This window comes from Homo sapiens, chromosome 9 (genome assembly GCF_000001405.40).
Source record: "Homo sapiens chromosome 9, GRCh38.p14 Primary Assembly".
Taxonomy (NCBI): domain Eukaryota; kingdom Metazoa; phylum Chordata; class Mammalia; order Primates; family Hominidae; genus Homo; species Homo sapiens.
Window position 1 is genome coordinate 63,806,696 of NC_000009.12, and position 12,697 is coordinate 63,819,392.

At 47.6% G+C, this 12,697-nt stretch overlaps 1 long non-coding RNA gene and 2 pseudogenes across 2 annotated transcripts, besides 5 other annotated features; 2 read left to right on the top strand and 1 right to left on the bottom strand.

Moving 5' to 3' along the window:
* Positions 2,456-2,957: an enhancer, noted in NCBI's record as "OCT4 hESC enhancer chr9:68404885-68405386 (GRCh37/hg19 assembly coordinates)". NCBI's record gives its function as "activates a minimal SCP1, AML or CMV promoter by ChIP-STARR-seq in primed H9 embryonic stem cells {active_cell/tissue: H9 hESC(primed)}" and the evidence as "EXISTENCE:reporter gene assay evidence [ECO:0000049][PMID:30033119]".
* Positions 6,246-12,334, top strand: LINC00537 (long intergenic non-protein coding RNA 537). Of its 2 annotated transcripts, none has more exons than NR_146625.1 (2): positions 6,246-7,845; positions 9,660-12,334. It is a non-coding gene; the product is annotated as a long intergenic non-protein coding RNA 537 (long non-coding RNA). The 2 variants fall into 2 exon arrangements; NR_146626.1 differs by having other exon boundaries at positions 6,246-6,421; positions 10,883-12,334.
* On the top strand, positions 6,495-6,612 carry RNA5SP284 (RNA, 5S ribosomal pseudogene 284; annotated as a pseudogene).
* Positions 8,295-8,823: an enhancer, noted in NCBI's record as "H3K27ac-H3K4me1 hESC enhancer chr9:68410724-68411252 (GRCh37/hg19 assembly coordinates)". NCBI's record gives its function as "activates a minimal SCP1, AML or CMV promoter by ChIP-STARR-seq in naive H9 embryonic stem cells {active_cell/tissue: H9 hESC(naive)}" and the evidence as "EXISTENCE:reporter gene assay evidence [ECO:0000049][PMID:30033119]".
* Positions 8,824-9,352: an enhancer, noted in NCBI's record as "H3K27ac-H3K4me1 hESC enhancer chr9:68411253-68411781 (GRCh37/hg19 assembly coordinates)". NCBI's record gives its function as "activates a minimal SCP1, AML or CMV promoter by ChIP-STARR-seq in naive H9 embryonic stem cells {active_cell/tissue: H9 hESC(naive)}" and the evidence as "EXISTENCE:reporter gene assay evidence [ECO:0000049][PMID:30033119]".
* DUX4L50 (double homeobox 4 like 50 (pseudogene)) lies at positions 10,814-11,806 on the bottom strand (annotated as a pseudogene).
* Positions 10,937-11,475: an enhancer, noted in NCBI's record as "H3K27ac-H3K4me1 hESC enhancer chr9:68413366-68413904 (GRCh37/hg19 assembly coordinates)". NCBI's record gives its function as "activates a minimal SCP1, AML or CMV promoter by ChIP-STARR-seq in naive H9 embryonic stem cells {active_cell/tissue: H9 hESC(naive)}" and the evidence as "EXISTENCE:reporter gene assay evidence [ECO:0000049][PMID:30033119]".
* Positions 11,476-12,012: an enhancer, noted in NCBI's record as "H3K27ac-H3K4me1 hESC enhancer chr9:68413905-68414441 (GRCh37/hg19 assembly coordinates)". NCBI's record gives its function as "activates a minimal SCP1, AML or CMV promoter by ChIP-STARR-seq in naive and primed H9 embryonic stem cells {active_cell/tissue: H9 hESC(naive and primed)}" and the evidence as "EXISTENCE:reporter gene assay evidence [ECO:0000049][PMID:30033119]".
* Positions 12,335-12,697: the final 363 nt, after the last annotated feature.

A 12,697-nucleotide genomic window follows, 5' to 3' on the forward strand; every position in this document is an offset into this window, starting at 1 on the left:
AGTGCAAAGGCCAATGTCACGTAAGTACCTGTTCCCCATCTGTAAAATAACTTTCAGATACTATTCCCACAGCTGGAATCAGTACAATGTTTTGACTGAGGTATTGGAAAAGCCTATGAGCTCATTATCATTTGAACATATGAGTAATGTAAAATTTAGGCAGAATTTTATTTGAAAGGATTATTTATGCAATTTTTAATTAACTGATTTATATTGCGGTTATTTCAAACAATAAAAATCAGGTCATTGTGTTGTAAGCTAGAAATATTTACAATAACACATGGTCTTGATTATCTCACATGATGAAGACTAAAGCAAAATAATTTATCTTAGGGAATTCTGTGACAGTTTCTCTTTCACTTTGCTTTAATAATGACTTCAAACTGTTGTACATATATAGAGAACTCCTGACTAAAGAGAATATTTTGTCTATTGTGCTGTGTTTCTGTAACTTTTTAAGATCTAGAGGAACATATATTTAGTCTCGGTTGGCCAACTAAATGTTATGGAGTCAGCTTCTGTGTTATGTGCTGAGCATTGAAGGAATGGTGGAGACAGGGCTGCTGCCCTCACAGAGTCTGCGGAGAAAACCTGATGGAGTGTGGCAGGGAACATGCTGAGAGCATCCCAGGATGCCAAAAGTGCACACAGATGGAACACCTGCCTTAGAACAAGGGTGGGTCAGACAAGGAGAGGTGTCAGGAAAAGCAAGGAAAGTTTAAAATGCAGGAATAGAAACGCACTTGAGAAATCCATGGGGAATGAAAAGAGAATGGCTGAGCAGCAGCAGATTGTCAAAAAGGAAATCAAGAAGGAGCAGCCAAAGAGGTTGATGGAGAACCAGGAGAAAGAAGGTGACACTGAAGCCAAGGGAATGAAAGCGTTTCAGCATTTCTGGGAAAAAATGACATGCTCTGTCTTAACCTTGCTGTTTTATGAGTCATATAGCCACATTCCAGGTTCTGAGAAGTCCAGCAGTAAAGATGTTTCTTTTAGTTTGCTTAACCCAGCATTTGCCAGAATAATCTGGGCTTAGTGTGAGTGTGTGTGCATGTGTGTGCCTGTGTGTTCTACTAATACCTCACTGAGGCTAGTGCTCTATACAACATAATTTTTAAAACACTGGTTTTATCCATCTTTTTGTTCAGCTGCAGCAACACTTACAAAGGTCAACTTTGATCATGTGTCTTCGTTACTAAAGGAAACAAAACAAACTAATGAATAAAGCCCACCTGGCAGTGTCTCCTCACTACCTGTACGATGGAGCCCACCTGGCTTGGCCTGGGTGCCCTGTGCTGACCTGGCCATGCTGTCTTCTGCCTGCTGCTTTGCCTCCTCTTTCCTCCTGGAGAAGGTAGAGATGCTCTGAGCTTTGGCTCGTCTGGAACATGTGTCCTTCCCCTCATGTGGCCCATGTTTTCCTGAGTCCACTTTAATCTCATTTAAGGGTATAGAACTTTCCTTAAAGCTTTTGGTCAGGTCTCACTCTCTATGCTGTCTTTCTACCACTTCTACAATGTACATACTTTACTGATACATTAATTATGCTATACCAGCCCAGGTTTTTACTTCTATATCATTTTATATCATCATCTTTTTTTCTTAGAGCTTAGTTCACTTATTTATTCAGTCTTTCCACAATATAATTGTATGTCATATAATTTCATATTGATTTTCATTGGTGTTTATATATCTTTTCTGCAAAAATGGAGGCTTTCTAAATAGATCTTCATTAATGTTGAAAGAACAAGGTTTTAAGTCTTGGTCTCAGCCAAAAGGAGTTCCCCGCATTACCAGGAGGGAAAGAAACACTTGCATTGTTGCATTAGATATTCTTACAGAGAAAGAGAACCACGTGTAATGGAAAATTGCTAACTTGGCCTCAGGGAGTCCAGGTTGATTCACTGAGAAAGTTTGAATTGGTTTAGAAAGCATAGTTCTGAGTTTTCTAGAAGACCAAAATTTAGAGTAGGGCATAAGAAGTAATGCCCATATCAAAAAATTAGAAATATCTCAAATTAACAACCTAACATCACAACTGAAAGAATTAGAGAAGCAAGGAGAACTCAACCACAAAGCTTATAGAAGACAAGAAATAACTAAAATCAGAGCTGAATTGAAAGAAATTGAGACATGAAAAACTGTTCAAAAGATCACTTAATCAAGGTTTTTTGAAAAAATTACTAAGATAGGGCACTAGCTAGATTAATAAAGAAGATGAAAGAAGATTCAAATAAAGAAAATTAGAAATGATGAAGGGAATGTTACCACTGACCCCAGAGAAATAAAAATAACAACCAGTAACTACTACGATCACCTCTATACACACAAACTAGAAACCCTAGAAGAGATTAATAAATTCCTGGACACATATACTCTCTCGAGACTGAACCAGGAAGAAATTCAGTCTCTGAGCAGACCAATTATAAGCTCCAAAAATTGAATCCGTAATAAATAGCCTACCAACCCCCCAAAAAGCCCAGGACCTGATAGATTAACAAATTTTAACAGATGTACAAAGAAGAGCCAGTACCAGTCCTACTGAAACTATTTCAAGAAATAGAGGAGGAGGGACTCTTCCCCAACTTGTTCTATGAGGCCAGAATCATCCTGATACCAAAGCCTGGCAGTGACACAACAAAAAAAGAAAACTTCAGGCCAGTATCCTTGATGAACATCCATTCAATAATCCACAACAAAATACTTGCAAACTGAATCTAGCAACACATCAAAAGGCTAATTCACCATAGTGAAGTAAGCTTCTTCCCTGGAATGGAAGGGTGGTCCATCATGGGCAAATCAATAAAATGTGATTCATAACATAAATAAAACTAAAGATAAGAACCACATGATTGTCTCAACAGATGCAGAAAAGACTTTCAGTAAAATTCAACAAAGCTTCATGTTAAAAATTCTCAATAAATGAGGTATCAAAGGAACATACCTCAAAATAATAAAGGTCACCTATGACAAACTCACAGCCAACATTATACTAAATGGGCAAAATCTAGAAGCATCCTCCTTGAAACCCGCACAAGACAGGGATGCCCTCTCTCACCACTCCTATTCAACATAGTATTAGAAGTCCTTTCTGGAGCAACCAGACAAGAGAAAGAAATAAAGCGTATTTAAATAGAAAGAGAAGTCAAACTACCTCTGTTTGCAGACAACATAATTCTGTATCTAAACCCTATAGTTGTGACCCAAAACTCCTTAAGCTGATAAAAAACTTCCACAAAGTTTCAGGACACAAAATCAATGTACGAAATTTGCTAGCATCCCTATACACCAAGAAGAGCCAAGCTAAGAGCCAAATCAGAGAGGCAATTTTATTCACAATTTCCACGAAAAGAATAAAGTACATAGGAATACAGCTAACCAGGGAGGTGAAAAATCTCTACAATGAAAATTACAAAACACTGCTCAAAGAAGTCAGAGAAGACACAAATAAATGAAAAATCATTCCATGTTAATGGAGAGAAAGAATTAATATCATTTAAATTGTTGTACTGTCCAAAGCTATTCCTATTAAACTACCAATGACATGCTTCACAGAAGTAGAAAAAAGCTATTTAAAAATTCATATAGAACCAAGAAAGAACCTAAGTAGCCAAGGCAATCCTAAGCAAAAAGAACAAAGCTTGAGGCATCACATTACCCGACTTCAAACTAACCTACAGCACCATAGTAACCAAAACAGCATGGTACTAGCACAAAAACAGACACATACACCAGTGGAACAGAATAGAGAGGTTAGAAGTAAGACCACATACCTACAACTATGTAATCTTTGACAAAGGTGGCAAAAACAATCAATGGGGAAAAGATTCCCTATTCAATAAATGGTGCTGGGATAACTGGCTAGCCATATGCAGAAGATTGAAGTTGGACTTCTTCCTTATACCATATACAAAAATCAACTCAAGATGGACTAAATACTTAAATGTAAAACCCAAAACTATAAAAGCTCTGGAAGACAACCTAGACAATACCATCCTGGACATAGAAAGAGGCAAAGATTTCATGATAAAGACACCAAAAATAACAAATACAACTATTGACAAGTGGGATCTCATTAAACTTAAAAGCTTCTGCTCAGCAAAAGAAATCATCAATAGAGTGAACAGACAACCTATAGAATGAGGAAAAAATATTTACAAAGTATGTATCTGACAAAGATCTAATATTCAATATAAGGAACTTAAATTTACAAGAGAAAAACAAAAAACCCTATTAAAAAGTGGCCAAAGCCCTGACTTCTGAATAGCACTTCTGGACCCAGCCAGGGACTGAGGGATCTCACTGCCCTAAAGGAAAGAACACAGGCCTGTCTGGCTTTGCCACCTGCTAATTGTAGAGACCAAAGGCCTTGAGTGAACATAGGGAGTCGTCAGAAAGTGCATGCAGCAGGACTTGAGCAAGACCCGTGCTGTGCTAGCTTCAGGTCTGATCCAGGGCAGTCATAGTGGTGGTGGCCTGAGGTGCTTGTGTCTTTCTTCTCCCAGCTTTAGGTGGCTTAGAACAGAGAGAAAGACTGTATCTTTGAGAGAAAATAAGGGTAGGGAAAGAGTCTGTAGCTAGTAATCCAGAAAATTCTCCTGGGTCTTGTTGAAGGCTGTCAAGGTGGTACTTCTCTGAGTCTGGAAGAATTACAGCATTATTGGGTATAAGGTGCTCCATAAAGCAGATATGGCTTAGATCACAACACCCAACTCTTTTCAAATATGTGAAAAGCCTTCCCAAGAAAGACAGCTACAAATAATCCCAGACAGTGAAGACTACAATAAATACTCACCTTTTCTCTCTTTAAATTTTATTTTTTAAACCTCTCATATGGTGTTGCATGCCCAAGATTTTAATGTCCAGACACTGAAGAACATCTACTAGCATCAACTCCATCCAGGAAAACATGACCTCACCAAGTGAACTAAATAAGGCACTGGGGACAAATCCTGGAGAAAAAGAGATATGTGATGTTTCAGACAGAGAATTCAAAATAGCTGTATTTAAAAAAAAACTGAAAGAAATTTAAGATAACAAAGTAAGGAAATTCCAAATTTTATCAGCTAAACTCAACAAATAGATTGAAATAGTTACAGTAAATTAAGCAGAAATTCTGAGCTGAAAAATGCAATTGGCATGCTGAAGAATGCATTAGAGCCATGTAATAGCAGAATGGATCAAGCAGAAGAAATAGTGAGCTTGAAGACAGGCTCTTTGAAAATACATAGAAGAGACAAAAGAAAAAGAATAAAAACAACAAATCATGCCGACAGGATCTAGAAAATAGCCTCACAAAGACAGATCTAAGAGTTATTTGTTTTAAAGAAGATGTAAAGAAAGAGGCAGGGGAGGATCTAGAAAATAGCCTCACAAAGACAGATCTAAGAGTTATTGGTTTTAAAGAAGATGTAGAGAAAGAGGCAGGGGTAGAAAAATTTATTCAAAGGGATAATAACAGAGAACTTTCCAAACCTAGAGAAAGACAGCCATATCCAACTACAAAAATGTTATAGAACATTAAGCAGATTTAACCCAAAAAAGACTACTTCAAAGCATTCAATAGTCTTCCAAAAGTCAAAGATAAAAGTTCTTAAGGAAGAAAGAGAAAAGAAACAAATAACCTACTGGGGAGCTCCAACACGTCTGGCAGCAGACTTTACAGTGGAAACTCTACTGGCCAGGACAGAGAAGCAATAAATATTTAAAGTACTAAAGGAAAGAAACTTTTACCTTAGAATAGAATGTACAGTGAAAATGTTCTTCAAAAAAAAGAAGAAATACTGACTTTTTCAGACAAACAAAAGCTGAAGTATTTTATGAATACCATACCTGTCCTAAAGGAATGCTAAAGGGAGTACTTCAGTCAGGAAGAAAAGGACATTAATGAGTAATAAATGATCACCTAAAGGTAAAAAAAAATCCTCACTGCTAATAGGATACAAAACAAAACAGAATATTATAACACTATAGCTGTGTGGTGTGCAAACTACTCTTATTTAAAGTAGGAATACTAAATAATATCCAATCAAAAGTAATAGCTACAACAACATTTCAAGACATAGCACAATAAAATATAAATAGAAACAACAAAAAGTTAAAAAGTTAAGGGATGAACACGACCCGTCCTGAGCCGGCAGATGTGGTGGAAGCCCCGGAGCTCCGGAGCTCCCGGAAGGACTGGAGCGTGGGCGGAAAGGAGGCCGCCCCTAGAGCCGGAAGCCTGCGCAGGGGACAGAGGCCTCCGGCGCCCCCCAGCAACAGCAGGGTGGTGCCATATTGGTCCTGAGCCAGGCCTAGCCACCGGTGACGGCGGGACTCTCTGGGAGGCCGGCGGTCCTCGGGTGTAGAGGGAGACAGCTGCCCGGGGGCACGGGCGAGCACCTCTGGGGGTCCCGGATCCTAGACCCGCGGCCCCGGGGTGGCGGTGACGCCTGGAGTCGTGCGGGCTTGGCTGGGCCGGGCTCTTGGGGCAGCCAGGTGCCGCTGCTGGCGTCTAGGCCACACCACCCTGAACGCGCCGGCTCGCCTCTGATCTGTTGAAGCTAAGCAGGGTCGGGACTGTTTAGTACTTGGATGGGATTCCGCCTGGTAATAGCGGTACCGTAGGCTTTTGGCTTCCCGCTCCCTCCCTCTTTCCTCCTTTTGTCTCCGTGCTTCCCAACTGCCCCCCGCCTCTGCTCCCGGTTGACCGCCCCCGCGCCCCAGCAGAAGCCCAGGTCCTCCTCCTGAAGATCCGCCACTGCAGCACCGCCAGGCAGCAGCATCCCACCTCTTCCGACTCGCGGCAGCCCCACCCAACCCGGGCGGGACGGGACCAACCCCGAGGGTGCAGGCGCGGGTTCCCTGAGGTCCCGGGTGTCTTCACGCTCCCCGGACTCCCAGGCAATTGTATTCATTCATTCAGCGTCACTGCAACCGTCCAAGCCGGTGGAAGGGGCGAGCAGGGGCAGCGGGTGCCACAGACCCCAGCCAAGACCTCCGCTCCAGAACCCGAGGGCTGCTTTCCCCAGAGGAAGGACATTTTCTTCGCCAGCCACGAGGAAAACCGTCCCTGTGCACCCTGTTTCCCAATGCCACCGACTTCGTGTAAACTCCAGTCCGGAGGACAGGAGAGAGACCCAGGCCTCGCCCCGTGGACAGGCTCGGCGCCACGGCTCCCGCCAGACACAGGAGCACACTCTACAAATCTCGGGGCCCATCGCATCAAGGAGACAGAAAGAAGCAAACGAAGGACCTTATGAAACACACCCCCAAAGCAACCAACCAATCCAAGAAAAAAAAACACGTCTCAGGGCTCCATTGGTTTTCCTGGCTGGGGGGCCCTGACCCCCTGTTCTAGCCCGGCCCAAGAACCCTGCACCCCACCCCGGCCTGCTGAAAGGTGCCCTGTCTACCTGAGCAGAGCCTCCCTCTCCAAGGCTCTGTCGCTGTCGCTCCACAACTCCCTCACCCTCTCCCTTTCTCTACTTCCCCCTCCACCTCGTGCTCTACTGTGGTGCTCTCTCTTCCCCCCTCTCTCTCTCCTCCCCCCTTTTCTATCTCTCTCTCTCTCTCTATCGCTGTCTCTCTCTCTCCCTCTGGTTCTATTTCTCCATCCCTCTCTCCTTTGCTTTCCTTCTGTAGCAGGAGGAGCTGCAGACAAAACCCCTCAGACACCGAGTTGTAGAAGGAAGGGCTTTATTCAGCTGGGAGCATCAGCAGACTCACGTCTCCAAAAACTGAGCTCTCCTAGTGAGCAATTCCTGTCCCTCTTAAGGGCTTACAACTCTAAGGGGGTCCGCGTGAGAGGGTCGTGATGGATTGAGGAAGCAGAGGGTACGTGACTGGGGGCTGCATGCACAGGTAATTAGATCAGAATAAAACAGGACAGGGATTTTCACAGTGCTTTTCTATACAATGTCTGTAATCTATAGATAACATAACCGAGTAGGTCAGGGGTCGATCTTTAACTACCAGGCCCAGGGTGTGGTGCGGGGCTGTCTGCTTGTGGATTTCATTTCTGCCTTTTAGATTTTACTTCTTCTTTCTTTGGAGGCAGAAATTGGGCATAAGACAATATGAGGGGTGGTCTCCCTTCAAGCTATCTGCGTCTGTCTTTGTGTGTCCGTGTGTGTGTGCCCGGGTGTGGTGTGTGTGTGTGTGTGTCTGCCCGCGTGCACCCGTGTGTATCCGTGTGTGTGTCAGGGTGGGTTTGCTCGTGGTAGTGGTGGGGTGTGTCTGGGTGTCCGTCAGCCCCTCTTTCTCAGGATGAGGCTGCCGGGGCTCTAGTGCCAGGGCGGGGCAAAGCAGAGCCTTCTTGCCCCTTTGGCCATGGCGGGTCCCCGTCAGAACAAGCGACGATGGTGTGAGCATTGTGAGAAAAAGGGCCCGTGGGGCTGGGCCGGCCGTTCGCCCCTGGGCAGCCCTGGCGGCTCTGGGTGTGTGGGGCAAGAGGGGGCCTTGCAGGAGGGGCGGCGAGGAATCCAAAATAATTTTTCCGCGGCAAGGCGGAGGACCGGAGGGGACCCCAGGACCGCGGGCCCTGGGCCCTGACGCCTCGGAGCACACCCCGTCCTAAGCGGGCCCCAGGTGTTGGAAGCTCGGGAGCTCAAGAGCCTGGGGAAGGCCTGGAGTCTCAGCGAGAGGGTGGCCGCCTGGAGAGTCCAGAGCCCTGGCAGGGGATGGAGGCCTCTGGCGCCTGGGCTGTCTCGCGCATGGTCTGGCCGCCGGCGACATCGGGACGCTCTGGGAGGTCGGCGAAAAGCGCAGCGTGGCGATGGTGGTGCTTGGGCGTAGAGGGGGAGAGCAGCCGGGCCACAGGCAAGCGGCTCCGGGGTGCCTGATCCCAGCCTCGCGCTCCCGGGTTGGTGGTGACGCCTGGAATCAGGCAGGCGTAGCTGGACTGGGCTCTTGGGCCAGCCAGGCGCCACTGCCATTGTCTACGGCCATACCACCTGGAAAACGAGAGAGACCCAAGCTGCGGCCCGTGGGCACGTTCAGCGCCACTGCTTCTGCCACAGTGAGGGGCGCACTCTACAACTTTCAGGGCCCACAGCACCAAGAGGACAGGGAGGAGCCAACAAAGGAATGACGCTACGAAAAGCACCCCCAAAGCAACCAACAAATCCAAGTAAAAACATGTCTCAGGGCTCCGTTGGTTTTCCCGAGTGGGAGGCCCTGCCCCCCTGTTCCAGCCCAGCCCAGGCACCCTCCACCCTACCCTGGCCAAAGGGGCCCCTGTCTACCAGATAGAGCCTCCCTCTCCAAGGCTCTGTTGCTCTCCCTCTCAAGCTCCCTCACCCTTTCCCTTTCCCTACTTCCCTCTCCACCTTGCTCTCTCTCTCTCTCTCTCAATCTCCCTGGTTCCTCTCTGTGTCTCTCTCCATCGCTGTTTCTCTCCTTCCGTTTCTATCTCTCATCCCTCTGTCCCTTGCTCTCCTTCAAGCTGTCTGTCTTTGTGTGTCTGTGTGTGTGCTTGTGTTCCCGCGTGTGCGCCCGTGTGTGTCTGTGTGTTTGGGAGTCGGTTTGCTAGTGACTGTGGTGGGGTGTGTCTGGATGTCCATCAGTACCTTTGTCCCAGGATCAGGCTGCCAACTCTATTGCCAACGCCTGGGTGTCACAGTTGCCGTGATAGTCTCACACACGCAGGTGTGTTCATCTCGTTCATTTTCACGTAGACAACGAGAGCGAAACCACAGAGAAAAGAAACATCCCGTGCATCACGGCCTGACAATGGATTCCTGTTTCCTGTACAATGTGGAGTCTCCAATATAGCCTGTTTGAAAACTGGAAAGGAGAGCACCGACACGATGCTGGTCTTCCACGCATTCCTGGAAGTTTCTGGGGCCCCACAGAGCTCGCGAAACAAACAGTCAACATGGTCACGCTTTCGGGGGGCAGAAACTTGAGCAACAGGCACCTTTACAGAGGGCAAAGAAACGTGGAATCCAGAATCACGCTTCAGTTGGCCTGGGTGTGACTCCTGTGTGGATGGGACTATCTGCCTCGAGCTCTGTTGCAGGGCTCAACGTGGGGATATGTCATCTGTGAACCATGTGGATGAAAAACAGACAACTACCTGAGTCTCGGCTCATTGCTCTCTGGGGAATTCGCTCATTCCTTCGGAAACGGAATTGGTCTGAATTGCTCCGGGATGAAGTAACCCAGGCTGGTGATCCAGAGGGCCGCTGAGCGCCCCGCCGGCCAACGGGGCTGTGGGCCCAGCACTCAGCCTGTACTGGGCACCCAACATATTCCCGGAGTTCTGGGTCCTGTTGGTTCTGGAGGCATAAGACATTTTTTGTCTCTGCCTTCTGTTCTCTGTTTCTTGCTCCTTTTGTCTCTCCGTCCATCCTTCCATCTGTTCTACCCTCCCTCCCCTGGCTTTTTCCTCCCTTTCTCCCTCCCTCCCTCTTTCTCTCCCTTCCGGGGTCCCTCCTTCCACCCATCCTTGCCTAGCTCCATCCTTCCATCTCACTCTGTCTCTGTTCCTGTCCTCATCTCTGCCTGCCTTCCCTCTTGCCTGGAAAGGGCAGCACCCTGGTTTGCGCGAGGTCTCGGGTCTTTATTTAGTTGTAAGGCGCTCTATGGTGCTGGCGAGGAGGCTGGCGGGACACGGGTTGGCAAGTGATGGTGAGCGAAGAGGCGGAGGAGTTGAGCCACAGAAAGGAGAACTGGCCTGGATTCTGCCCCGGCCCAGTGTTTCGCGGACTGAGGTCTCCGCCAACCCGATTGAAGAACGCGGGGGGGAAAGGGAGGAGAGCTCCGCCTGGGCTAGTTAGAAGACTAGGCTGCTGCCTGGAAACCCGCGCATGCGCAGTAGACAGCCCACCTCCCTGTACCTGGACCGGCCCTGGGATCCCCGGGATGCTCAGGAATGCTTTCTTTTCATTGTTGACAGCCCTACTCTGTGTGGAGTCTCTCGCTGGACCTGGAACTCAGGGATCCTAGGGAGGTCAGCTGGAAGGGAAGACACGCCTCTCCATACCAAGCCTGAGGTTCACTGCAAAAGAGAGGCCGCCGCCCTGCCCCCACCCTGCCCCCACCCTGCCCCAAACCCGCCCCAACCTGCTCCTCCAGCAGAGCCCTGTGTTCTTCCTGTCTGAGGAGTGGTTCCAGCAAAGCGGGCTCTTCCACGTCCTTCAGCTCCCCCAGTGGCGCCGGATCTAGGAAAGGTTGTGCCTTTTGCTGAAACTCTGGGGTTGACAGGAGCTCATCTAACAGGCTGGAGGTGAGTGCAGACGAGAGCCCCGGCTCCTGGAGCGGTTGGGAGGTGCCCGGTTGGCTGGCATCTGCGCTTGACGCGGAGGCCTCCGGGGTCACGAGCTCGGGAGGTGAAGGTGCCCCGTCTTCGGGTTCCCATGCCGCCCTGGCGACCTGGGGCTCCAGCCCCACCACGGACTCCGGTGGGACGTGGGTGGTGCAAGCACACCTTTCCCCTGTGACTCAGCTTGAGGGGCCCCAAGCTGTCCCACTGAGCACGCGCCCAGCAGGCCGTCGCGCTGTGGGTTCTGGTCTTCCTGTCATTTGTTGGGGTTCGGAGGCCACCAGGGAGTCTGAGGATGGGAGAGCCCCAGTTTCGGAGGGAGGGGCCAGGACAGTGAACACAAAGCCCCGCATGCTCGGGCAGGTTGGGAGAGTCCTTCTGCCTGTGCAGCCTGGCTGGGCTGGAGCAGGGGGATGACCCTTGCTTCCTGGCTCACGAAAGCCCCCTGTGGGAGAGCCCCAGGAGCGCAGGGCATGTGGGGTGCAGGAAGCGACGTTCCCCACGCCCCGGTGTAGGTGAACCCGATAGAGGAGGGAGGAGGGTGACACCCACCAGGGGTGCTAATTAGTAACCACAGTGGCCTCAAAGAACTCAAATGAAAGGAAGACTTGCAAGTCTCTCACTTTAAGTCCAGAGCTAGAAATGATTAAGCTTAGTGAAGATGTAGAATTTTCATAGCTAGAGAGAAGTCAACACTTGGCTTCAGAACTTCAAAGGATGGGCTGACTCTCTTTGAGGACCACTGCAGCTGGTGACTTTAGGTTACAGCCAGTGCTCATTGACCACTCTGAAAATCTCAGGGCCCTTAAGAATTATGCAAAATCTATTCTTTCTGTGCTCTAGAAATGGAACATCACTGTCTGGGTGACAGCACATCTGTTAATAGCATGGTTTACTGAATATTTTAATCCCACTATTGAGACCTACTGCTCAGAAAAAAAAAAAAAACGATTCTTTTAAAAAGATTGTTGGTTGGCCAGGCATAGTGGCTCATACTTGTAATCCCTGCACTTTGGGAGGCTGAGGATCACCTGAGGTCAGGAGTTCAAGACCAGCCTGGCCAAAATGATGAAACCCCATCTCTAATAAAAATACAAAAAAAATTAGCCAGGCATGGTGGTAGTACCTGTAATTTCAGCTACTCGGGAGGCTGAGGCAGAAGAATGGCTTGAACCCTGGAGGCAGAGGTTGCAGTGAGCCGAGACCGCACCACTGTACTCCAGCCTGGGCAACAAGAGTGAAACTACGTCAAAAAAAAAAAAAAAAAAAAAAAAAAAAAAAAAAAAAAAGAAAAAGAAAAGAAAGAAAAGAAAGAAAAAGAAAAAATCAAAGGAAAGAAAAGGAAAAAAGAAAAAAAGATTGCTGCTTATTGACAATTCACCTAGCTCCCCAGAAGCTTAGATGGAGATGTACTTGGAAATTAATGTTATTTTCATGGCTGCTAGTACA